At 40.7% G+C, this 26,497-nt stretch overlaps 1 protein-coding gene across 11 annotated transcripts in view, besides 4 other annotated features; it reads left to right on the top strand.

The window, feature by feature from the left end:
- Positions 788-837: a silencer, noted in NCBI's record as "silent region_20164". NCBI's record gives its function as "represses an Ori minimal core promoter by ATAC-STARR-seq in GM12878 lymphoblastoid cells {active_cell/tissue: GM12878}" and the evidence as "EXISTENCE:reporter gene assay evidence [ECO:0000049][PMID:35858748]".
- TMEM245 (transmembrane protein 245) overlaps positions 937-26,497 on the top strand; it is a 104,813-nt gene continuing 79,252 nt past the window's right edge. For all 11 annotated transcript variants that reach the window (NM_001438169.1, NM_001438166.1, NM_001438172.1 and 8 more), the window contains exons 1-3: positions 937-1,549; positions 12,314-12,431; positions 14,275-14,376. In NM_001438169.1, coding sequence (NP_001425098.1) covers positions 971-1,549; positions 12,314-12,431; positions 14,275-14,376 — 799 coding nt within the window. In that variant the 5' untranslated portion in view covers positions 937-970. The remainder of the gene's footprint in view (positions 1,550-12,313; positions 12,432-14,274; positions 14,377-26,497) is intronic.
- Positions 978-1,147: a silencer, noted in NCBI's record as "silent region_20163". NCBI's record gives its function as "represses an Ori minimal core promoter by ATAC-STARR-seq in GM12878 lymphoblastoid cells {active_cell/tissue: GM12878}" and the evidence as "EXISTENCE:reporter gene assay evidence [ECO:0000049][PMID:35858748]".
- Positions 1,258-1,307: an enhancer, noted in NCBI's record as "active region_28758". NCBI's record gives its function as "activates an Ori minimal core promoter by ATAC-STARR-seq in GM12878 lymphoblastoid cells {active_cell/tissue: GM12878}" and the evidence as "EXISTENCE:reporter gene assay evidence [ECO:0000049][PMID:35858748]".
- Positions 1,498-1,607: a silencer, noted in NCBI's record as "silent region_20162". NCBI's record gives its function as "represses an Ori minimal core promoter by ATAC-STARR-seq in GM12878 lymphoblastoid cells {active_cell/tissue: GM12878}" and the evidence as "EXISTENCE:reporter gene assay evidence [ECO:0000049][PMID:35858748]".

The raw sequence follows: 26,497 nt of genomic DNA, 5'->3' as shown, positions 1-26,497 counted from the left end.
CCAGAGTTTCCCTTCCCCCACACAATAACCCTAAAGCAAAAGCTATTATTATTATCATCGCCATGTGACAGAGGAAAACTTGAGATTGGGGGCTTAACTGACATTACATCAAGTCTCAAAAAGAAACAGTGGCAGTTTGAGACTTTGATCTACGACTCTTTTAAGAGTTTAGATTGCGTCCACAGCGAAACCTGCACAAACAGTTGTCAACAGCGGCTGCAAATTACAGGCTTATGAGGAACGTTTGAAAAATGCCAAGAGTTCTTTCCTCAGGCCAAATACTATGGTAGATAAAAGTATAGCCTTTGGAGCCAGAATCCCTGAGTTTGAATCTTGCCTGTGCCACTTGGTAGCTGTGTGACTCTGGCTGCGTACTTAACGGCTCTGTCTCAGTTTTTCTGTTGGTAAAATGAGGATAATAACACCTTCTTTGTAGGGTTGTTCTAAGGATTAAATGAGTTAATAGGAGTGAGCCACTTAGAATAGGGCCTGTTATATGGTAATCTCTATTTAAAATCCTGTCAGATACACCAAAGAAAACACTTTAAAAATATCTGTTAAATAAATCAGTAAAACAGAATCGGGGCATTGGTTCTTTAAAAGTACTCCCCCACGGTATTCTAGTATGCAGCTTGGGTTTTAATATCTGAATGTGGCGCCTTTTGGGATCTCGCCTCGCGAGAAATTGACATTAACGAATGAGTGAAAGGAGCTTCCCCCCCCCCCCCCCTCCAGGAAGATATAGACCCTGCAAACTTGTTAGCAGGACCTTGCGGACACCAAGGAGGCGGAGGCGTTTTCCCCATTTCCCCTTCGGGAGTTGTAGTTTCCTGCAAGCGCTTGGTGGGTCTGTAAACCAGCGGGGAACTACAACTCCCACAATCTCGCGCGCCTCCCGCCCTGCCTCCCGCCCGCGTTTCTAGCCCGACTCCCATTACCGCCCCTCGGGGGCGGCTGTGGCGGAGGAACGATGGCCGACGGCGGCGGCCCTAAGGACGCGCCAAGCCTGCGGAGCTCTCCCGGGCCGGCGCCGCGGGTCCCGCGCGCGGTCGGGCCGAGTGGCGGTGGCGGGGAGACCCCGCGGACCGCGGCGCTGGCGCTGCGCTTCGACAAGCCCATTAAGCAGGCCTTCTACAACACCGGGGCCGTGCTGTTCGTGTGCCTGTGCTGCGGCGCCGCGGTGCTGGTCTACTTCATCCTGGAGGCCTTCCTGCGGCCGCTGCTCTGGGCCGTGCTATGCGGCACTTTTCTGCACCCCTTCAAGAGCTCGCTGACGCGCCTGGGCCGCCACTGGCTGCAGCGCCTGCACCGCGCGCACACGCCCATCGTCCTGGCCGCGCTGCTCCTGCCGCTCTGCTTCGTCGACTACGGCGTCGAGGCCCTGGGCGAGCAGGCGCTGCGCCGCCGCCGCCTGCTCCTGCTGCTCGGCGCCGGCGGCCCGCTCCTGTACGGCCTCTACTGCCTCGGCAGCTACTTGGGCGTGCAGGTGCTGCTGGTGCACGCTGCCACGCTCATCTGCCGCGGGCTGGACTACTTCAGCAGCCTGTGGGTGAGTGAGCGGCAGTCCGCCCCCGTCCCCCGCCCGTGGTCCCGGCGCTCTGGGGTGCAATCCTGCAGCTGTTCCTCCCGGTGCAGGGGCGACGAGGGGCCACACCTGTGCTGCAGTGACCGTCCGTCTCCGCTTTCCTTCTCACACCTCAGGAATTTGGCGGACATTCTTCCAAAAAGGGGGCGGGCGTGATTTGAAACAGCCTCCCTGCTTTTCGCCTTGTTTCAATCCTAATAGGCCCTCTTAGGGGGACAGTGCCCTGGATTGAGAATCGTTATTTCGCTTTGCAGAGAGAGGCCTCAGAGCATGGCAGTGGGGCTTGGTTTTACTTCTGGTTGGAGAGGGCGGGGGTGCTTCGGCCACCCTCAGTTCTGCGCATCTGAATGTCAGAGCTGGAAGGGACCTTAGAGATTCTAGGCCAACTTGCCATCCTGCAGATAGGAAAGGTGACCTCTTACCAGGCTAGGGCTACTTAGGGACAAAGAGGGGTTTGGGTGTCTTAGATTTCTTACAAGTCCTAAAACAAAGCTTGCTTCACTGGCTGGTGCTGCCTCTCAGTTCAGGTGATTCCTGTATAATTTGTGCAAGGCACTGGGTGCTGAGCTGCCTGTGCTTCTTCCTCTCCACGCTTTACTTTTAGGTAACTGCTTTTGTTGTGCAGGGACTGGTGTACCACAGCACACCTCCTCCCGCCTGGAGTAAAGCAGCTGACCGCGTGAAGGGGAGAGACGTAGATTTGTGATGCTTGGATTAACCTGAGCTTACTCTTACAAAACCAGGGAGCTTTAGAATTGGAAAGATTTCAAAGGTAATCTAGTGACACAATTCCTAACTCAGACTATATTGTGGACTAGTTAATTATCCACATATTTAACTGGAGACTGTTAAAAACAAGTGGAGATTTAGTGCGTAAGAATGCCAATTGATTCATAAACAGTACCATTTACAAATTGATTCACTTCTTTTGTCAGTGAAATAAAGTTCAGTGTACCTTGACGTCATTAAGTTGGAAAATATTAATTCCCCTTATCTGTCTAGCGGTGTTTTGGCTTGCCTGAGGTTATTGGCAGAGTGATGAATGACCCAAAACACCCTTCTTCTCTTGTTCCCTCAATACCACCTCTTGGTTCATGTTTAAAGTTGATCGAGCATATGTTAGGTGTTGGGCTTTGTGAGAGGTTTAAAAAAGGACTAAGATACAGGTCCCGTCTTCACGGTACATATAATCCTATATGAACATATTCTAATGGAGATGACAGACATACAGATAAATGTTCATGACTCATCCGTTGTGGGCCACAGGCCCAGAGAATGTGATTGGTCCAAAGTCACACAGCTCATGAGCAAATCTGTGGTTCACTTTTATGGAGGCCCAGTTCAGCGCTCTTTATCCTTTATCTTGCAGTTTCACAATTCAGTTAAGTGGATCGAATGCTTCTTAGCTAGAAGGCAGAACACTATGTTCTAAGAAAAATAAGCTTGGTTATTTTCCTGAAGAAATTCAGTTTTGTCAAAGACACATTTATAGATTCTGCTAACATTTTTGACTGTTGATACTGCTCAAGGAGCATATCCATCAAACTATAGGAAAGTAGAAAAGAAAGGCCTGCCACATGTAAATAGTATATTTTCATGCTAGAGTAAGAAGTTGAATACCTAAGTAATTTGGCATGATTATGAGGCATTTCTACCAGTCTCTCTCAGATACTCAGTGGAAAGAGTTGAGCACTTGTAAAGAAACATCCACAGCTCGGCGTATACCTTTGAGTATCTTTTTACTGAAGATAAACCCTCATCTTTGTATTTCATTTGTGGGTTGTGGATGAGTGGAAGAGAAGTAGGGGCCAACACTGATTAGACCTGGGAGTGGGAGAAAGAAGGTCAAACTAATTAATGATTTTTTAAAAGCTTGAAATTGGCCGGGCGCGGTGGCTCACGCCTGTAATCCCAGCACTTTGGGAGGTCGAGGCGGGTGGATCACCTGAGGTTAGGAGTTCAAGACCAGCCTGGCCAACATGGTGAAACCCCGTCTCTACCAAAAATACAAAAAAAAAAAAATTAGCTGGGTGTGGTGGTGGGCACCTGTAATCCCAACTATTTGGGAGGCTGAGGCAGAAGAATCACTTGAACCCGGGAGGCAGAGGTTGGAGTGAGCCAAGATTGCACCACTGCACTCCATTCTGGGTGACAAGCGTGAAATTCCGTCTCAAAAAAAAACCAAAAAAACCTTGAAATTCAGCTGTTTGGCTCAAGTGTTGGGAGCAAGGAAAAAGAGAGAGGGTTAAAAAAAAACAAACTCAACATAAAAGTATGAGTTAAGTATTTGTGAGTAGGGAGTGGTAGAAGGGCTAAATTTGAAAGAACCTTCAGGTCAATCTGAGTTTAAGAAAAACAAGGCATGGAATTGCATTCTGCTCAAGCAGCACTTAAGGATGGATGGTTGGATGGGGGTGAGGTGTACTTGAGAAGACAAGGAGTCCTTGCTCTTATCCAAAAGTGCTGATTAAGGCCAGGTGGGGTTGCCCACGCCTGTAGTCCCAGCACTTTGGGAGGCCCACACAGGTGAATCACTTGAGGCCAGGAGTTCGAGATCAGCCTGGCCAACATGGTAAAACCCCGTCTCTACTAAAAATACAAAAAATTAGCCAGGCATGGTGGCGCACACCTGTGGTCCCAGCTACTCGGGAGGCTGAGGCAATCTCTTGAACCCAAGAGTTGGAGGTTGCAGTGAGTTGAGATTGTGCCAGTACACTCCAGCCTAGGTGACAGAGCAATACCCTGTCTCAAAAAAAAAGAAAAAAAAAAGTGCTGATTAAAGGCCAGGCACAGTGGCTTAATGTAACCCCAGCACTTTGGGAGGCCGAGGGAGGAGGATTGTCTGAGCCCAGGAGTTTGAGACCAGCCTGGGCAACATAGTGAGACCTCCCCCACCCCCAGTCTTTTAAAATAAGAAAGAAAGTGCAGATTAAGGCCTGGCATTAAGTGAAAGTAGGTTATGTGACTGGGCAGGAGGCCCACTCTGGACCTTTTCCATCCCACAGTTCACAGCGGTTTGGCTTTATGAGCCCAAGCAGGGCTGTCTGGTTATAGAACATGGTCTTTATGCTTTCTAGGCTACTTTAACCATGAGCCTGCTGCTGAAGAGCAGTATAGATGAGAGAGGCAGAGAGAAAAGTTACCTTTAAGCGAATCCCTGTTTTGATGACTTGACAGTTCATCCATTTAAGATCCAACTTTTGAGCATCTGCCATGTCCCAGGCACTAGATTAGGTTCTTTTACATGGGTGTTATTTCATTCTCTCAATGTCTTATGAGCTAGGAGGGAGGGATTTCATATGTGAGAAAACTAATTCAGAGAACTGTTGATGCTGTCAGTAAATGGCATTCAATAGACCTAGCAGCAGTTGAAGTCCTGCTGTTATCAAAACTCTGTAGTAACCTTCAATAAGGATTTTTAAAAAGTTTTCCCTAATACATTGTGTTTAATTATTTTTAGTGGATTGTAGGCCAGGTGCGGTTGCTCACACCTGTAATCCCAGCACTTTGGGAAGCCGAGGCAGGCAGATCACCTGAGGTCAGGAGTTCGAGACCAGCCTGGCCAACATGGTGAAACCCCGTCTCTACTAAAAATACAAAAATTAGCCGGGTGTGACGGCCGACTCCATAATCCCAGCTACTCTGGAGGCTGAGGCAGGAGAATTGCTTGAAACCGGGAGGCAGAGGTTGTAATGAGCCCAGGTCGCGCCATTGCACTCCAGCCTGGGCAACAGAGTGAGACTCTGTCTTAAAAAAAAAAAAAAAAAAAAAAAAAAGATTCCAGTTACTAGGAAAAAATCAGAAAAATATCAGCATTCTAGTCATCTAGAAACCTTATTCGTCCCTCTTCTTTCTTCCCTTTTATTTTTATATCTATGCAGTTTTCCAGGTCCCATCAATTTTCCTTTTTAGTGTCTTTGGGACCTATGTTTTTCTTTTTTCTTCTTATATTTTGAGACGGAGTTTTGCTCTTGTTGCCCAGGCTGGAGTGCAATGGTGTGATCTCAGCTCACTGCAAGCTCTGCCTCCCCGGTTCAAGCAATTCTGCTTCAGCCTCCCAAGTAGCTGGGATTACAGGCACCCACCACGCCCGGCTAATTTTTGTGTTATTTTTAATAGAGACGGGGTTTCACCATGTTGGCCAGGCTGGTCTTGAACTCCTGACCTCAGGTGATCCACCTTCCTTGGCCTCCCAAAGTGCTGGGATTACAGGCATGAGCTACTGCGCCTGGCCTGGACCTATGTTTTTCTTCGTCACTAGTTTTTCTTTCCAGTTCAGTTCCTCTTCATGTCACTTGTAGATTTCTTCAGTCTCCTAAAACTCCGTGCTTCTTACAAGTGAAACACTAATCATTTATGGGATGAGTAATTCTTTTTCAGCAGTTTCAAATATGTTAGGAGATTGCACTGACTTAGTAAGTGATTTCAGAACACCTAAAAAAAAAATCAGCTGTTGCACCAGGTTCACATGTTACTCAGTTCTTGGCATCTTCCCATGGTGGAGCTGTGCAAGGTAAATTTGAAAAAGCTGATGGCGTGCCCTGCTCCACCATTCCTCTCTGTTGGGGGGCATTCTGATCTTCCTCATTCTGTTAATTTAGACTTGGTGGAGAATTTGAAGACCATTTAGTTTTTTGCAGTAGTAATAGATTTGTTTTTTCTGTGGTCTCTGATCCCATTGTTCCCATCTTTTTAAAGAAGCAGGAGGTGGAGAGAGTAGTGGCTGAAAGATAAAAACACCTGAAGTTCTAAACTTGGCTCTGCCAGTAACTAACTTTGTGACCTTGGGCAGACCAGGGCCCTCCTCTGGGACATTCAGTCCCAATTGCATAAAGTGAGGGGTTGGCTTGAACAATTTCTAAGATTTCACGATGTTCTATTTTACACATCACAAGAGGCTCTTCAGCAGTGGACGTTAGTCAGCCATTCACTGCTGACACCGTTCTACTTTTAAACACATTTCTAGGTTTGTTTCTGCTTGCCTGGCAGCAAGAAACAAGGAGAGGAAAGTTTCTAGTGCTTAGTTTTCTCAGTTAAAGACTTTGAATATAAAAATGTTGACTCTAAGTTGCCATATGACAAAGAGAATGGTTTTCACATTAGAATTAAGTGGATAATTTAAGGACCTGAAGCAGTTGCTGCTTGAGGCTATGATTAGGGCTGTGGCTCCATAACTTGGGAGGAGGTTTGTAGTTGTGGTGTTTTTGTTTTGTTTTGTTTTGGGGATGGATTTACGCTCTTGTTGCCCAGGCTGGAGTGCAATGGCGCGTTCTCGGCTCACCGCAACCTCTGCCTCCCGGGTTCAAGTGATTCTCCTGCCTCAGCCTCCCGAGTAGCCTGCCACCATGCCCGGCTAATTTTTTGTGTTTTTAGTAGAGACGGGGTTCCACCATGTTGGCCAGACTGGTCTCAAACTCCTAACCTCAGGTGATTCCCCTGCCTTGGCCTCCCAAAGTGCTGGGATTATAGGTGTGAGCCACTGCACCCTTCCTGTAGTTTTATTCTCTCTAAAAAAAGCTTGGGAAACTGTTCTGCAAAAATATGTAACAGAAGCAACCAAGTTGTTTTTCCAGTTAATACCCAGATGACAATAAATGAAACAAAGATGGTTGAAAAGGCAGAGTCTCTACTTAATGTTTTCTACATTTAATATGTTTTTTAACCAGAAAAGTATATGTGGATAATCGTGTGAAATGAAAGGAAAATGTGATTGCCTATTAGTTCCCTTTACTTGAAGTGCTAAGTAAATGTTGCCAAATTTTATGCAGTCTTATGTAGTGTCTAGCACATTGGTGCTATAAAAACGACTATGGAATGTATATTTTGAAAAGGACATGTTGTTTTGGAGAACATAAGTTTGGAAAAATATGCCCTCTTATCTGTAACTGTGGCTCATTGATTTAATGCCTGGAATAAAATTCACACTTGAATAGGTTTGCTCAGAGGCTAAACATATATAAAGTTGACTTGTTAACCTCATGTTTCCGTGTTAGTGAAGATTTAAGAATTAAAAAACTCCTAAGAGGTCCTAGACTAGAAATTGTGTGTGAAACATGCATGTACAAATCCTTATTTTTGTTATTTTAAAGGATATTTAGTGATTCAAAATGTTGACCCAAGTAAAATATGCTTGTTACATTTGAAAAAACATAAGCAGAACAGAAGTTTGTATGGTAAAAGTGAATTATCCCTTTCCTTCCCCCGCCCTGCCCCTGGCCCCGCTGAGATGGAGCCTTGCTCTGTCACTCAGGCTGGAGTGCAGTGGCTCGATCTTGGCTCACTGCAACCTCTGCCTCCCGGGTTCAAGCAATTCTCCTGCCTCAGCCTCCCGAGTGGCTGGGACTACAGGCATCTGCCACCATGCCCAGCTAATTTTTGTATTTTTAGTAGAGACGGGGTTTCACCATGTTGGCTAGGCTAGTCTTGAACTCCTGACCTCATGATCTGCCCATCTTGGTCTCCCAAAGTGCTGGGATTACAGGCATGAGCCACCGCGCCCGGCCGAATTATCCCTTTTCTCTACCACTATTCCCACTATTCAGATGTTACTATTAACTGCTTGATGTAAAGGCTCCTAAATTCATTTCTTTGTCCATGTGAACATATAAAGTAGAAGGTTTTTGTTTTTTGTTTTTTAAAACAAAGATGAGATAACATACATATAGCTCTGTACCTTGCTCTTTTCATTTATCATTGTACTGTGGCCATCTTTCCTTATTAGCACTTAGAGATATACGTCTTTCTTTTTTTTTTTTTTGAGATGGAGTTTTGCTCTTGCTGCCCAGGCTGGAGTGCAATGGTGCAATCTCGGCTCACTGTAACCTCCACCTCCTGGGTTCAAGCGATTCTCCTGCCTCAGCCTCCCAAGTAGCTGGGATTACAGGCACATGCTACCATACCTGGTTAATTTTTGTATTTTTAGTAGAGAAGGGGTTTCACCACATTGGCCAGGCTGGTCTCGAACTCCTGACTTCATGTGATCTGCCCGCCTCAGCCTCCCAAAGTGCAAGGATTACAGGTGTGAGCCACTGCCCTGGCCACTTTTTTCTTTTTAATACTGCTACAGTATAAATCTTTTTTCTCCCCCTCCCCCACCATGCCTTTTAGAAAATGTTTTCAACAGATTTTCTTAGCTCTGAATTTGTATTAGAATACTTTGATAAACATTTTTAACCATTGGTAATTGTATAATCATAATGGGCTTAATATAAACTCTAAAGTGTTTTTATAAATGGCCTTACCTCTTGAACTAATATTACTTCTGCGAATCTTTTCTGAGGAAACACTTCAAAATACTGGAAAAAATCCAGAAGCCAAAAGAATTTCCTAAAGGTTAAAAATACTTCTTTTTCTGTTTATAAAGATACTACATAACCTTAGTAGAAAATTGAGCACCTGTAATAAAACATAAAGAAGCAGATTACTCCTTGAAATCTGCCATCTAGAGATAATATTTTAAAACATTTTTTGTTGAGTATATTTTCACCATTATAAATTTACACACGAATAAATTGACACTGTAGCACTGTATATTGATGTTCATCATACTGTTGAAAGTCTGACTAATTACTCAATTTTTGGAGATAGCATTATTTAAACAGTTCACTATAAAATGATATTTAAGTTCTCAATTTTTTATATTGTAAATGGCAAGTGAATATTTTTATATGTGTCTGCACAGTGTGCTTCTGTAAAACACTCCTAAAAGTAGAATTGGGGAGTATATTTTAAAATGGTTATTTTAAACTGGAATGAGGTAATCTGTGAGTTTCAGGTTGATAGATGAAAATACATGCTTCTTGTTAGACAATAAATTTCTCTTAAAAAATCTGAAGTATGCAGTCTCTTATTTTTTCTCTCCTTGCAAATGATACTAATTCCTTATGCATACAGATAAGAAACAAAAACTTCTTGGAGGTACTGTATAAATTGTGACCTCCAGTTCAGCTTCTTACTAAGGGTAGTACTTACTTTGTCATCTCTGTTCAACGTTTGCTCAAACACTTTTAGTAATGATTATTCCATTTGTAGATAGCTATAGTTTATTGGAAAAACCTGTCCTTTTACTGAGCTGTGTTATTTCCTAATTCCCACGTATTTCTGCTCTCAGAACCACAGAAAATCAAGTCTTATGCCTCTCCCAGATGACATTTTAAAAATTATTTGAAGATAGCTACAAAATCTTGATATTTCCTTCTCTTTTCTGAGCAAAACTTTTTTTTTCTTTTTCCCCTAGCTACATTTATATTATCATGTTGTGATTTCTATTTCCTTTCCCAGGCTGAATTTTGTTGTGTGGTTTGGTAGCGCAAAATTAATTGAAACAATCACTTTCCCTGATACGAGTATTGTACTTTTAGAAATAAGTGCTTCTACTAGTCATAGGCTGACTCATACTGAACTGAAAAGTGGTTCAGATGTTCTCTTTCCATTCCATACTTGTACAGTTGAGTTTTGAATCTCGAAGCAGAACTTTGCATTTCTTTTCATATAGTTTAATCTTGTTTGGATTAGCCCATTGTTCTGGCTTCAGGATATCTTTTTGAATCATGATAGATTATCTCAATATTTATTGACAACTCAGTTTTGTATAACTGATTTGTGTAAAATCAGTTTTTTCTGTTATTGTGCCTCTAGTCTTTCATCTAAGTGACTGACGTAATGTTTAATAGGGTGGGGCTAACTGACGTACCTCTGAAGACTATCCATTTACTGTGGATTTTTTTTTAATTTCAACAAGTTGTAGTTGTCTAAATTGACTGTTTTTATTTTCCCTTGTGAAAATCTGAGCAGCTTTTGCTTATCTTTAGTATTCTAGCACCATGCTTCTTTCTCCTTAAGATTAGAAAAGTGCACTCTGGAGCCAGATTCCTGGGTTCTAATCCTGCCTCTGTCATTTATTGGCTGTGGCCTTGGGCAAGTCACTTCTCTGAAATCTGGGTTTCTTTCATGTGTAAAATGAGGATCATAATAATATTATTTTGTGGGGTTATGAGGATCAAATGAGTTAGTATACATAAAGCATTAGAATAGGGCCTGGCACATAGGAGTGTTATATAAGTGTACTATTATTGTACTCAGATTTTTTTCTATGCTCTGCAATCAGATCTCAAATTCTTTGAATTCCCAGGGTTAATTGGTCTGGTCCAGCAAGACTGGACTTTTTGAAGCAGCTGTAGTCTCACTTCCCATGTCCTCATATTTTTGAGCTTCAAAGCTCTTTAATATTTCATCTGATAGAGTTACTTGAAGAAATATTTTAATGTCCTTTTTATTATAAAAGAATTAGTGCTTATTAAAGGCAGTCTGGAAAATACAGAAAAAAGTGAAAGGAAAAACAAAATTTTACCACCCAAATACAGCCACTAACTTCTTAGTACATTTTCTTTTCCTCCCACCATATAGTAGATGTAATCACAGCACAAGTATTTTTTGTATTTTACTTCTAACTTAATATGATATTGTGAGTTTTTAAACTATATAGTCTTTGTTTTTAAGAAGTGATTTTAATGGTTGCATAACATTTTATTGAGTGAATCGTAATCATTTCCCAGTTGTTGACCTTTTAGGTAATCACTTTTTTCACTGTTCTGAATCATACTCTGATGAGCTTCTTTATATTTAAAACTTTTTCAAAATTTATCATTATTTAGTAAGGATAAAGTCTGAAAGTTGAATTCTGAGGTTAGAAGCTATAAACATTTTTAAGATGCGAAGATTATTTGTATTGATAGATTTGACCAAAATAACGTAGGAGATAGTTTTTTTCTGTCTTTTTTAGTAATCCCATCAGTTCTTTTTTCTTCATGCTCTGAATTATATAGCTCGAAGTTTCTTTTTGTCTTAATTTGCTTTTTTTTTTGGCAAGGTTCATGTCATACTTGACTTTTAGCTTCTTGGTCTTATGTTAATTAAGGTCTTTGTGCTCAGATGTGTTCTGGATTATGTATTCCCTCTGTGTTTTATAAATGTTCTATTAAAATATGAGTTTCTGTGTAGGCTACGCTGGTTTCTTTTGATGCGTCTTAAGCTCTAGGGTCATTTAACTTTAGTGTAGGAAGAACTGAAGAGGGTATCCTGGCTGATTCTTCTGTTCTGAAGTCCTGCTGTTTGTTCCTCTAATAATATTTTTTTCAGGCACACTTCTTCAGCTGGTGCATCATAACTCTGGATTAGGTTCTAATCATTTGTTGCCTAGATTATTTCAGCAGGGTCACACTTCAGCTGGCTGCTTTCTTACTTTTACAGAGTTATTTCCCCAGTAACAAGCATATTTTATAAGCTGAAATAGAATCTTTTAACCTGATTCTTTTTGGAAAGCTTTCCTTTTCTTGTTTTTTTCTTTTCTTTCCGTTTCTTTTCTAAACATTGATCAACAGAGAAAACTGTAGGAATTCCATAAGATTAGATTCTTAATTTAAATCCATGGTTTATGCTTTGAATATTTTATCTCAAGCATTTTTGTGTATAAGATGGGTTTTGAACTATGTATCTTTTGTTAAACAACTATTTAATATTACTACATGAGATTTCAAATGCCTAGTATTTCAAAACTTAGGTTCTCCAAACGAGGAGAACCTAGGTACGTTTCTTTGACACCATCAACCTTCATCTTTTCTGTGCTATGTCCAGAGCATTCCTGCTGTATAGACACTTACAGATTTTGTATAATTGTATGTTCATTTTCACGTGTATAGATTTTACAGCTGTGTCTTTCATTTATTTAAGATCTGGACGTTGGTGGTTGGCTATGTGTTGACTGTTTCATTCAAGTGGAATGCAAGCACTGAACGCTACTTGAGAGCAGTTTCAATTCCTGTCTGGATTATATTGCTTTTTCATTTAGGTGGGTTCCTTCTTTTTTTTTTTTTTTTTTTTAAGTCTAGCCTAAGGTCAGCAGAGGCTGACTGTGTGAATGAAAGTGAATTTTTTGTAGTGTCATATGTTGCATTTAACATTCTTAATCTTTAGAAAATGTTATGCTTTAATCTTTCATTAAATTTTAATGAAAATGATGTGCTTTAAAATGTCTTTAATTATGTTCATTTTCCAAAAGGTCCTTTTAAAAGTCAATACATCTTAAAAAGTAGAGCACCCTTGGATTCTCATATCATTTCTGAGTGTCATACTTAGGGGAAGATATAGATAAGCAGTCAACGATAAGAGGTGCTCAGAGACATGTGTGAGAACCAGTTAAAGGAACTAGAGATGTTTACTCTGGATAAGAGGAGGGAACTGGGGCTCTAGGGTGGGAAGGAGATAGAGGTAAGGAGGATATAAGACATGAAAGCCTATTTCTAATATTTGAAGGACTGTCCTGTGAAAGAGTGCTTTAAACAGATCTCTGTAACCATGAGGGAGAGATGTCAGAGTTGTGAGTTAGCTTCAGAGAGACAAATCTCTTTTCCACATAAGGATGATTCATGTCAGAGCTGCTCAGAGTAATGGGTTCCCTGTTATGTTAGCTGGGTGGCTGCTCAGATGTTGATTTTTCAGCGTGGTACTTATGGTTGAGACTTTCATCTCCCAAGTTTGAGCCAATGGAAACACTAAGTTCTAATTTAACAACACAATTCAGTAACCCAGAGCAGCAGATAGCCTTAAAGTAGTTTCTAGAGCTACTACTTATTGTTAAAAATAAAATAAAAAACAGCTATGTCTCTGTCTTCGTTTGATGTCAAACAAAGCATTATTCTCTAGCTTTGTTGAGTTGGAATGATAGAGGAATTTATCTGCAAGAACCCGTATGTCAGATATGACTCATTTTGAACTCAGGGAAGGCAGAGGAGGGAGGCAGGCAGGCAGGGATGTTTTATGAGGTTCTAGGTGGACTCAGGGAAATGGTTATGGGTAGGGACCTGTTTCTTGGTGACTTGTGAACTTTTTTTTTTTTTTTTTTTGAGACAGAGTCTCACTCCATCGCCCAGGCTGGAGTGCAGTGGTGTGATCTTGGCTCACTGCAGCCTCCACCTCCTGGGTTCAAGCAATTCTCCTGTCTCAGCCCCCCAAGTAGCTGGGATTACAGGCATGTACCACCACGCCTGGCTAATTTTTTTTTTTTATTTTTATTTTTAGTGGAGATGGGATTTCACCATGCTGGCCAGGCTGGTCTCGAACTCCTGACCTCAAATTAGCCACCTGCCTCAGCCCCCCAAAGTGCTGGGATTACAGGTGTGAGCCACTGCGCCCAGCCAACTTGTAAACATTTTTGCATTATACACTGAGGAGGAGACATTGATGGTTTTGCTGTGCTCTTTTGGGCCATTCTCTTTCTTGGGAGAGAAAGTTCACGCCCGGTGGTATTTTCAAGAAACCAAGGCAGACTTTATGGCTTTGAGATCTATGCCTAATTCTGGTCATTCTGGGGTGAAGTAGATGGTTTGAGTTCGGGATGGTTTTAGACCTTTGGTATACGTTACAATAGACTCTCTTTAATAGAACCCCATTAAAGGTAGGCAGGCATGTACCCTATCCATTTGACCAGGGGCCTCTGAGAGCAGGGATGAACTTAATTTTGAGAAATCTTGAAGTTTATCTAATGGACTTAAATTTTTTTTTTTTTGCCTGATAAGTAATTCTGTAACTAATATATATACCAGATTGTTCTGTCAAACTACAAAACTGAGTTTTGTAAAAACAAGTACTAGGTTTTTATTTCACTAAAAATGTTAATTCTTAATAATTTGCAGCATCCCTGGCTGGCTCATGGAGAATTCCAGTATTCCTGGTTATTGTTTTCCTGATGTCTGTGGGTACCCTCTATGAAAAACAGAATGGAAAAGAGTCTTCTGGTAAGAAATAGGGCATTCTATTAATACTACTCTTTGAAGTATTTTGGAGAGTAGCTTTTTAAAAAATGCTATGATGAAACAGCTTTGAATCTATTTAAAAACCTATGATGGTTTCTGAGTGGAAAATAAATTGTTTAAAATATTTTAGGTTGTTAGACCATGATTTGTTTTGGTATTATTTTATTGAGGCATGTATAACTTAAAGTTAACCATAAGCCATTGTATTTTAATTTTATTAAAATATTTTATTTTTATAAAATAAAATATTTTTATTTTATTTTTTAGTGACAAGGTCTTGCTCTGTTTCCAGGCTGGAGTGCAGTGGCACAATCATAGCTCACTGTAACCTTGAACTCCTGGGCTCAGGGGTTTTCCAACCTTATCCTCCCAAGTAGCGAGGGCTACAGGTGCAGTAATCACGTAAAAATGGCCTACAGGCCGTGCGCAGTGGCTCACGTCTGTAATCCCAGCACTTTGGGAGGCTGAGGCAAGCGGATCACGAGGTCAGGAGTTCGAGACCAGCCTGGCCAATATGGTGAAACCCCGTCTCTACTAAAAATACAAAAATTAGCTGGGCATGGTTGGCATGTGCCTGTAGTCCCTGCTACTCGGGAGGCTGAGGCAGAAGAATTGCTTGAACCCAGGAGGTGGAGGTTGCAGTGAGAGCCGAGATCGCACCACTGCACTCCAGCCTGGCAACAGAGCGAGACTCCGTCTCAAAAAAAAAAACAGGCATACAATATGTCACAATGTTGTGCATCCATGACCTGTATCTAGTTCCAAGACATTTTCATTACCTCAGAAAGAAACCCTGTACATATATCAGTACTTCATTCCTTTTTATGGCTGAATAATATTCCATGGTAAGAGCACACCACATTTTGTTTATTTACTCATCAGTTGATGGATATTTGGGTTATTTCTACCATTTGTCTATTGTGAATAGTGCTGCTATGAACTTGTGTGCAAGTATTTATTTGAATACACGTTTTCAGTTCTTTGTTTACCTATGAGTAGAATTACTGGGTCGTATGGTAATTCTGTGTTTAATTTTTTAAGGAACTGCCAAACTGTTTTCCACAGCAGATGTACCATTCAGATTTCTACCAGCAGTGTATGAGGATTCTAATTTCTTTGCATCCTTGCCAACACCTATTATTTTCCACTTTTTGATAATGGCCAGTCCAGTGGGTGTGAAGTGGTATCTCATTATGGTTTTCATTTGCATTTCCGTAATGACTAATGATGTTGAGCATCTTTTCATTTGCTTTTTGGCCATTTGTTTCTCTTCTTTGGAGAAATGTCTATTCAAATTCTTTCCCCTTTAAAAAAAATTAAATTGTTTGCCTTTTTGTTGTTGCGTTTTAGGAATTCTTTACATATTCTAGATACTAGACCCTTATCAAATATATGATTTTTAAATATTCCATTGGTGGGTTGTATTTTTACTCTCTTGATAGTCTCTTTTGATGCAAAGAAATTTTTTTGATGAAGTCCAGTTTATCTACTTTTTCTTTTATTGCTTGTGTTTTTGATGTCATCTGACAAACAATTGCCAAATCCAAGGTCGTAAATACTTACCCTTAAGTTTCCTTTTAAGAATTTTATATTTTTATCTCTTATATTTAGGTCATTGATCCGTTTTGAAATAATTTTTGTAAATGATGTGAGGTAAGGATCCAACCTCATTCTTTTGCCTGTGTATATTCAGTTCTCCCAGCACTGTTGAAGATGGCCTTGGCACCCTTGTCAGAAATCAGTTGACCATATATATATGGGTTTATTTCTGCCCTTTCTGTTGTGTTTCACTGATCTATATGTCTCTCCTTAATGTCAGTTAACACATTCTTTTGATTACTGTAGTTTTGAAATTGAGAAGTGTGAGTTCTCCAACTTTGTTCTTCCTTTTCAAAATTGTTTTGACTATTTTGGGGTCCCTTGCATTTCCATATTTATGATCAGCTTTCCTGTTTTTACAAAAAAGCCTTTTGGGATTTTGATAGGGATTGCATTCAATCTAGAGATCACTTGTGGGCGGGGGGGAGCATTGCCATCTTTACAATATAAAAAGACAAAACCACAAAAACCTTACAATTTATGAGCGTGGGATGCATTTCCATTTATTTCGTTACTCTTTAATTTTTTAGTGTTTTTTTTAATTTTAAATTTTAATTTTTGTGGCTACATAGTAGGTGTATATATTTATGGGGTACATGGAATGTTTTGACACAGGCATGTAATGTGTAATAATCACATCAAGTAAAATGGGGTATCCATCCCCTCAAGTATTTATCCTTTGTTATAAATAATCCAATTATACTCTTAGTTATTTTAAAATATACAGTTAAATTATTGACTATAGTCACCCTGTTATGCTATCAAATACTAGGTCTTACTCTTTTTAATTTTTTTTTTCTGTTTTTGAGATGGAGTCTCGTTCTGTTGGCCGGGCTGGAGTGCAGTGGCATGATCTCAGCTCACTGCAGCCTCCACCTCCTGGGTTCAAGTGATTCTTCTGCCCCAGCCTCCCGAGTAGCTGGGATTCCAGGCACCCGCCATCATGCCTGGCTAATATTTGTATTGTTGTAGAGATGGGGTTTCACCATGTTGGCCAGGCTGGTCTCGAACTCCTGATCTCTGGTGGTCCGCCTGCCTTGGCCTCCCAAAGTGCTGAGATTACAGGCATGAGCCACCACGCCCTGTCCATTTTTTTAAACTTTTTGGTACCTATTAATAACCACTTCCAGCTTCCCCGTACCCTCTCACTATCCTTCCCAGCCTCTGGTAACCATCCTTCTGCTCTCTATCTCTGAGTTCAATTGTTTTGATTTTTAGATCCCACAAATAAGTGAGAACATGAGGTGTTTGTCTTTCTGTGCCTAGTTTGTCTCACTTAGCTTATATGGCCTGCAGTTCCATCCATGTTATTGCAAATGACAGGATCTCATTCTTTTTTTTTGGCGGAATAGTACTCCATTGTGTATAAGTACCACATGTTCTTTTTCCATTTATCTGTTGATGGACATTTAGGTTTCTTCCAAATTTTGGCTATTGTGAACAGTGCTGCAACAAACATGGGAGTCAGCAGTGTTTTGTAGTTTTCTTTGTATATGTCTTAGACCTTTAATTTATTCCTTATTCTTTTTGATACTATCATGTGGAATTGTTTTCTTAATTTTCCTTTTGGATGGTTTATTGCTGCTGGGTAGAAATACAACAGATTTTTTGCTTGTTGATCTTGTGTCCTGCAGCTTTGCTGAATTTATTAGCTTCAGTAGTTTCTTTGGTATATTCTTTAGGATTCTGCATATGTAAGTTCAGTCATCTGCAATAGGGATAGTTTGACTTCTTCCTTTCTAATTTGCATGCCTGTAATTTATTTTTCTTGCCTGATTGCTCTGGTTGGAATTTCTAGTACAAAGTTGAATAGACCATGTGCTTTTAAAGATTATTTTGAGGTACCCTGGCTGTGAGTGACCTATATCTGCAAATAGTTTGTTAAAGGTAGAGGTCTCTAATGAGTTGTAAGTGGGGAGGTTGTCAGGATATAGTAGTGGTCCTCAAATCATCAGATCAGACTTCTGGTTACCCAGCCGTGTGGAAGCAGCTGTGACTGGAGAGGTAAATCTGAACACAAAGCTTCTACAGTTGACCAATACTTTACTCCTTGCTTCTTTCTGATGGCGATAATAAACTCCAAGAGCAGATTACTAGCTGCAGTATGTTTTAAAAAGAATTAATTTCTCAGATAATATGTGTGTTGCAGTAAAGTTAGGAAATACAGAGAAACAAAAGGAAGAAACTAAAAATCACTCAAAATCTCACTGTCTACAGATTATACCAAAATGTTAACTAATAGTTGTTTTGCCTTTAGGCTTTTAAAAACACAAAAAAACTAGATCACAGTGAACATTCTGTTTTGTAACCCACATTTTAAACTTAATTATGTCATGAGGAACTTTCTGTGTCAATGAATACACTTATAGAGCATTATTTTTAACATCTTCATTTTATTCTCATCATGAGGCTGTTTGTGGTACTCTGGTGTATTTGTACAGGTACCTTGTAAAAGTTTTTAAAAATTAATTTGCTTTTTATTATTTTATTTGATAAATGAGTAATATCTAACAATTGTAAGCCATATTTTTATTTGTAAATATATATTTAGAATTTTAAAATTCCTGAAACAAAGTAACCATAACTATATATCTCTCTGACAGTGGAAAATAGGGAAGATTTTATTTTATTTTATTTTATATTTTGGTGTCTAAGTTTTCTTTGTTCAGCCTGTCTTCCTGGTTATAATCTGTTAGACTCTGTGGTTATATATCTGACTAGTGGAAGTAAATTTCCTGTTTTGGCAACTGCTGTAGAAAGCTTGGCAGTTTCGACTTGTTTTTCTGGTTAGTTTTATCTCCTTTGTTTTCTTTCACCTAATGGCAAGTGACTCAGACAGTTCTGCTTACCCTTTACCTCTTATGCCAGAATGGTTTCCCCTTTTGACTGCTTTTGTCCAGGGCCAAGTAAGTAATTGTTATAAGAATATAAGTAATGCAAGTCTAAACCAAAGGTTGTGGTTGGGTTTTCTCTACGGTGTAAATTCTAGTCATCTCATGACAGCAGCCTAGAAAACTGTAAGGGTAATAAGACTTCTAAGACCAATTTTTGAGCAAGGGGAAAAAGAAGACCATGGTCGATTATGAATACTAGCCATAAACTTAGAGTAGTGATGTGCTGATATGCAAGCCAGATTGCTGTTATTTGTATTACAGGCTATGACAAGGAAGGAAATCACAGACACACAGAATAAATGTTGAGTACAGATTTGGAAATCTTGGTTTTATTTATTTTGTTTAACTTTCATTTCAACCTGTGTCAAGATAGGTGATTATTGATCTAGAATCCCTTTCTGGACTTCTAGTCTAAATAATCCTCATCATAAAATAAATCTTTTAAGTGTTTCTTTTTCCTAAATTTCTGAGTATTTTTTTCTTCTTGCCCCTAAGAACATCGTTTCTTTTTAAGAATCAGAACTCAAACCATCTGGTGTGTAATGGGACAGCCCTTCTCTTGTACTTACAGTCAGTTTCCTGCTGTAGATGTCACTGTAATATAGGTAGGTACAGGAATGCTTTAGTATACTGCCACAACAGTGTGTGCATCGGCTCTTTCCTTGTCATTTCCAGTGTCCCGTTGTATCACTTGCTCTTGTTTTCCAGTCACTTGTGTGGGTATCTTTCTCTATGTCTTCTGAGCTTTGAAGGTTTTGTGCTGTGGTTCACTAGACTCACAGAATTAGTCCTGGATTTCATCAGAATTCAAAGCCTGAGTTTGGTTCCTAGACCCAGAGTACTCTTCTATTTATTTATTATTCTTATTTTATTTTGTTTTTAGAGACTAAGACTCGCTCTGTTGCCCAGGCTGGAGTGCAGTGGTGGTGTGACCATAGCTCACTGCAGCTTAACTCCTGGGCTCAAGCAGTGCTCCCACCTCCGCCTCAGAAAACTCTTCTTGTGGATCATTGCTGAGTTAGTTTCAGTGGTTGCTTCTGAACCCAAGGGTCTTACTCAGTGGTTTTCTCTTAGACCTGAGAAGTTCTAACATAGTATTTCCCAAAAGCTTAAGATAATAAGGGAAAAATATTTAAGTGCCTGTCATGAGCCAAGAACTTTCAAGTGCTTTTAAATGTGCTATCTTTTTAAATCCACAAGCAAACAAAACAGAACTCAAACAAATAAATCTTTGTAAGATAGATGGTATCTTCATTTACAGATGAAGATACTTCTAGAGATTAACTGACTAGCCTGCAGTCACACAGGTGACTAGTGGAGCTAAGATTTAAACTTAGGTCCTTGGCCAGGCATAATGGCTCATGCTATAATTCCAGCATTTTATGAGGCCAAGGCGGGAGGATTGCTTGAGCCCAGGAGTTCAAGACTAACCTTGCCTGGTCAAGATAGTGAGACCCTGTCTCTACAGAAAATAAATAAATACATAAAAATAAAATAAAATAAAAATTAGCTGGGTGTGGTAGTGTGCATCTATAGTCCCAGCTACTGGGAGGGTTGAAGATGGAGGATTGTTTGAGCCCAGGAGGTCAAGGCTGCAGTGAGTAGTAATCATGCCACTGTACTCCAGCCTGGGCTACAGAGGTGAGACCCTGTCTTAAAAGTAATAATAATGATAATAAATAAATAAACATAGGTTCTTGACCCTAAGCCCAGCGTTCTTTCCCCTCCCCAGGCTCTTTGAGTAAGTGTCAGTCATCCTGAAAAAGTATTGAGTACTCATCCTTCTTGCATCAGTTGTAGTTGTCAGCTCCTTCAGTTTTCCATATTGGTCCTGTTGACTTAACACAACTACATGACCTAGCTTCCTTGCCTCCTAGATCCCAGAAACCTTACTTAGTAGAAACCTTATGGCTTAGTCTGTTTTGTCCTGCTGTGACAGAGTAACACAGACTTGGAAACTTACAATGAACAGAAATTTATTGGCTCACAGTTCTGGAGGCTGAGAAGGCCAATGTCAAGGTGCTGGCATCTGGTGAGGATCTTCTTGCTGTATCATCACGTGGTACAAGGGCGAGCAAGAGATGGCTGGGGCTGAACTCACCCTTTTATAATGACATTAATCCTACCCATGAGGGCTGAGCCCTGATGGCCTAATCACCTCTTAAAGGTCCCACCTGTTAATACTGTGGTAACGGCAATTAAATTTAACATAAGTTTTGGAGCACAAACACTCAAACCATAGCACCTGGAATCCACGTTCAGTATGTTCCCTTGGCGTCTGAGGAAAGAGGTACACTAGCATTGTTATCTCCTATAAGTAAGGCTGTGTTAGACTCTTTAAAAATACTCTTAGTTTTTTTTAAGCAGTCTAGTGAGATTGGTGTTATGCTTATTTTACAAATGAAGAAACTTAGGCTCAGAGAGCCATTTTCTCTGAGTATAAGAAATTTCTTCAAAAGTTAGTGAAACAATCATCAGATATATCTATAATAGCCTGGATACCCAGCCTGAGAAGTACCAGCAAGTACAGCTGAGTGCTGTTCCTCCTGGCATTGGTAATTGTTTGTAAATGACTAGAAATGTCTTTGCAGAGATGAATCCTGATAGTTGCCTTACTTGTTTTGGGATAGCATGAGATATGAGTGAACAAGTTTGGTTCAGTCAAGCCCAAATTGGAAAAAGGGAGCAAACCAAATGTTTTACTGCTCCCCTCCCAGTCCCCACTTCTGATACTGCAAGTTAAACAGGCCTAGAGAAAAGTCTACTGGTCCATCTCCAGGCCCTTGTGACGTGATACTAGAAGCCATTGAGAGGGAGTTGTATTTTCCACATTAGTAATGGAAACAGAAGCCTTCTTCAAAGGGAACTTTGCAGGCTGGGGAGGTGTTATTTGGTATGCGGTGCCTGCTTCCAATAAGCATGTTTGGATGTATTTCTGGTAACTGCTGCTATCCCTGTGAAAAAGAATGGAGTGGATCAAGAAGTATCTCCTTATTTAGACTGGATTTAAAGTATATTTACCCATGCTTATTAAAAAAGTTAGTCTGCTCATCGTTGAGTTGTTGTATTAACAGACACTGTCTGACCTGTGGTCTCTTTCTTGTGTGCCGGACTCTGAGTTTCTGCCCCCTGGTGCTAGGCTGCTAATGTCAGTAGCATGCTTGTTTGGATTTGTGTAGATCCCTGTTATTTGGCTTCTGCTTAATGCTGGCCCTGTCTCTGGGTAGATTGATACCTGAAACCTTGGATGTTCTTTCCTTTTTTTTCTTTAGTCCTTGAGTCCCAAGATTATGTTCCCTTGTTTATGTGCCTATTTTTAGCTGTGGCTTTTAAATACAATACCATTCTAATACCACAACTTGGCCAAGATTCTCAGTCCTGGCATTGTTCTGTTCAGTTTATCATCTCCCTGCCTGGACTGTTGTTTTTTGTTTTTTTTTTTGGACTCTGATTCCAGGCCAATTCCTTGTGGTTTTTGAGGTGCTGAAGGGTATCATTGAGACAGAAGTCATTAAAATACAGATCTGTTGGATAAAAGCAGTTTGCCAAATCTTATATTCATAATTTTCAAATACTTTGTTTATTTTCTCTGTGTGCTACTCCTTTCATGCTTTTGTGAAGTCTGAGGTGCTCGAAAAATGTGCTGAGTCATTTGTGTATTAACTAGAAAAATAGTGCAGTTTCCATTGATGTAGCTAAGCTTTACTGCATATTTACTGCATATTTTAGTGCCATTAGCAAGTTGGAGAGTTATTCCTTAAGCCACAGTTTTGAAGATTTAATTGATTGGGTTTAGCTTTTTCTCGAATCTTTCAGTGCCTACTCTACAGATACAAGATATTTTGCTTAGCTCTGTGGAGAGATCTAAAAATGTCTACTAAGGGAAGATAGATGGCTATACTATAAAGTAGAAAGGGGAGGAGAGGTACAAAGAAATACTACAGAAGGGTTAGTGGCTTCTGCTTCTAGTTTATACTGTCGAAGCCAACAGATTGATATTGATGATGATGATAGCTAACATTTATTGAGTACTTCCTACATACCCAGCATTGTTCTAAACTTTATTTATTTATTTTTCAAGACGGAATCTCTCTCTGTCGCCCAGGCTAGTGCAGTGGTGCCATCTTGGCTCACTGAAGCCTCTGCCTCCCGGGTTCAAGTGATTCTTCTGCCTCAGCCTCCCAAGTAGCTGGGATTACAAGCATGCGCCACCATACCTGGCTAATTTTTTTGTATTTTTAATAGAGACGGGGTTTCACCATGTTGGCCAGGCAGGTCTGGAACTCCTGGCCTCAGGTGGTCTACCTGCCTTAGCCTCCCAAAGTGCTGGGATTACAGGTGTGAGCCACTGTGCCCAGCCAGCATTTTATATGTATTATTTCACTTCATTCTCAAATGAGATACGAATTTATGTAAGCCTCATTTTTACACATGAGGAGACTGGGACATCTCGACGTTAACTAACTTGCCTATAGCCATCTAAGTAGTAAGAATAGACCTGGGATTTGAACCTGGGGAGTCTTCTTTCCTCACCTGTGCTTCCAGCCACTGAATTGTGCTGCTTCCTCATAGCAAATGTGAGACCTTCTATGCCCTGGTCCCAACCTCCCTCTGCATTCTTACGCCACTCTGCTCTTCTCATTCACACTATCTTCCGGTCTTATTGAACTTCCTAGAGTTCTTTGAAGAGGGCACCTCTGCTTTTTCTTGCCTTTGTGTCTTCATATTTGTTTTTTTGTCTTCCTGAAACACTTTTCTACCCCTGCTCTCTAAGACACCAGTCTCTCAGGAGCTTCCTCTCCAAGATAGAACTGTTCTGTCTTCTTTATCTAGCTTACTTTTGTTAAAATGGATTTAAAGGATGGCATCTTTCAATATTCTTGTCAGACAGCTCCTTTGGAAACCCTTCCCAGACCTCCCTGCATGGATTTGATTTCCACGCTGCTCCCTAACAGTTTACACTTACTTTACATTAGCTCTTAAGTATCAGACTGAATTTGAGACCAGGGGCTTAGTCTCTTATATCAGCATATAGCCTAGTCGCCTATTTGGTGAATGAATGCTTAGTAGGCATTTAGAAATGTAAGATAAAATGCAGCTGAACTGAAAGTCCATTATTTGAAGAGCTATCCAATGATCTTGTTATTTTGCAAAAACCATCAAGGGACTTACTTTTCTTACAGTGTCTCAAGATGAGTAACCATTTAATTAAATTACTTTTGAAGAGGCCAGTTCAGTAATTAAAGACCCTTGACTAGTCTGTAATCTTATGTAAGAGAGAATTCTTAATTTTTAAAATTTTTGACCTGAAGGTCTTTGTTTTTGTTTTTCCTTTTTCTACTGTACTGTCCCAGGCCATTAGGTGTTCCCAAACTTTGCTCTTGAGTGGGGCCTAAGAGATCCCTCCTGGGTGTACTGCTGCAAAGCTAAGTCTTGCCCCATCTCTGGTGTAGGTCAGTTTGTTTGTGGAACTTTTTATTTTTGAGACAAAGTCTCACTCTGTCACCCAGGCAGAGTGCAGTGGTGTGATCTTGGCTTATTGGCATGATCTCAGCTCAATAATACGATCTCGGCTCACTGCAACCTCTGCCTCCTGGGTTCAAGCGATTCTCCTGCCTCAGCCTCTTGAGTAGCTGGGATTACAGGCGTGTGCCACCATGCCCAGCTAATTTTTGTGTTTTTAGTAGAGACGGGGTTTCGGCATGTTGGCGATGCTGGTCTCGAACTCCTGGCCTCAGGTAATCCGTCTGCCTTGGCCTCCCAGAGTGCTGGGATTACAGGCATGAGCCACTGCACCCAGCCTGTTTGTGGAACTTCTATCTGAAAGTCTAAAAATAACTCTAATATGCCAAGAATCTTCATCCAGCTCTGCTATATATTCTCTACCTAACCATAGTCTGGAAACCGGGATACCTTCGTCTCTTTGATTCCCTTCATTGCTTCCTCATCAAGTGTGGTCCGCTTTGACTCTTCTACGTCTCTTTAACACAGCCGCTTTTCCCTGTTTCCCCTGTTGTGGCTGTAGACCACACTGGCATCATGTCTTGCCTATAGTACTGCAACAACTTTTCTCCATACGTTATAGGTCCCCTCTAGTCTCTTTTTCTCCAGACAAGCAAGAATGGTCTTATATCTCAAATGGATTATTTATTTACAGGGTGGTGAGAGGGGTGAGAGGCAGTTGAGTGTGGTTATAAAAGGTCAACACGAGAGATCCTTATAGTGATGATGCTGTTCTGTATCTTGTGTCAGGGGAAACTGGACAAATTGTGGTACACTGGGATTATTTCTTGCAACTGCATATGAGTATACTTTTATCTCAATAAAATTTCAGTGAGAAGAAGACTACTATCCTGTTTGAAACTCTTCAGTGCGTTCTTCTTCCTCTTAGAATAAACACTAAAGTCCTTCATGTGGTGTTCTGTGATCTGCATCATCTGGCTTACCTCTCCAGCCTTGTTTATTTGATACCAGTTTCTTACTAGCTGTCTGTGTTCCAGACACACTGACCTTCTTTCACTGTCTTTAATATGCCGGGTTCTTCTCACAGCTTTCCTTCTGCCCAAGATATTGTTAGGATGTCACAAGATACCCAGCATTTCTTTTTATAGCAACCATAATTTCTATACACACGTTTATTTGTGTGGTTATTTAATTCATACCTTTACTATACTCCCTGGGGGCAGGGTCTGTGTCTTTATCCCCAGCACACAGTACATGTAAGAAATGAAAGACACTGTTTTTCTCTGTCAGCCCTTTCTGTCTTATTGGCATTTCAGGAGGACCTTGGATACACAGGCCAGGAGAGTAAGGTCCTAATCCAGAAATCTAACTTAGGCTTTCCTCTCAGACCATGAGTTTGAATTTCTCTCATATTGAGAGATACGATACCCTATCTAAAAATGAACTCTTTCAGGTCACAGGGGCATTTATTAGAGGAGGGACAGAGTATGACTGAGCAAGGTGAGTACTCTTATCCTGATGTCTGAATCTACCAAAGATCCACCTCAGGCTCTGGCTTGCTGCTATCTGGGAGAGGGCTAGCTTTGGATATTTGGGTATGTGGAGTTAATTAACTTGGAGCTGAAATTCATCGGCTTTCTGAAGGATCATGGCTCTTTTCATTGGGGTGACAGAATCCTATGTTGCCATACGGAGTCTTGGCCTACCAAAAGTAATGTCTCAGTTGTATGAGTGTGGGTGTATGATTTGGTGACTAGGAATTGCTAGTGTTCTTAGTTGTGAACAATAGAATCTACCCCAGGTAGTTTAAATAAATAGTAGGAGGTATTGGTTAGCATTTACAATTTTTGCACATGGAATTTCTGGAAAGACCAGACAATTAATCTTGGAATCTGACACAGGTGGAAGCAGTGCAATCAGGAGAAATGCTCAGTGACACTGAAGGACTGTTTGGGCAGAGGGCCACGGCTGCTGCTGCTCGCCGTGAAGTTAGAGATCAGACATCAGAACTTCTGCTAAGTTGCTGCGGAAAAACCATATGCCTTCCTGACTGACTGTGTTTGATACAAGAGCTCTGGCTTTCAAATTACAGTGTGCCACTTCAGGCTCTCAAGTCCTGCACAGGTGTACCTGCTTGGTAGAAACTG

Source organism: Homo sapiens, chromosome 9 (genome assembly GCF_000001405.40).
Source record: "Homo sapiens chromosome 9, GRCh38.p14 Primary Assembly".
NCBI lineage: Eukaryota > Metazoa > Chordata > Mammalia > Primates > Hominidae > Homo > Homo sapiens.
This window is presented reverse-complemented; position numbering and strand designations above follow the sequence as displayed.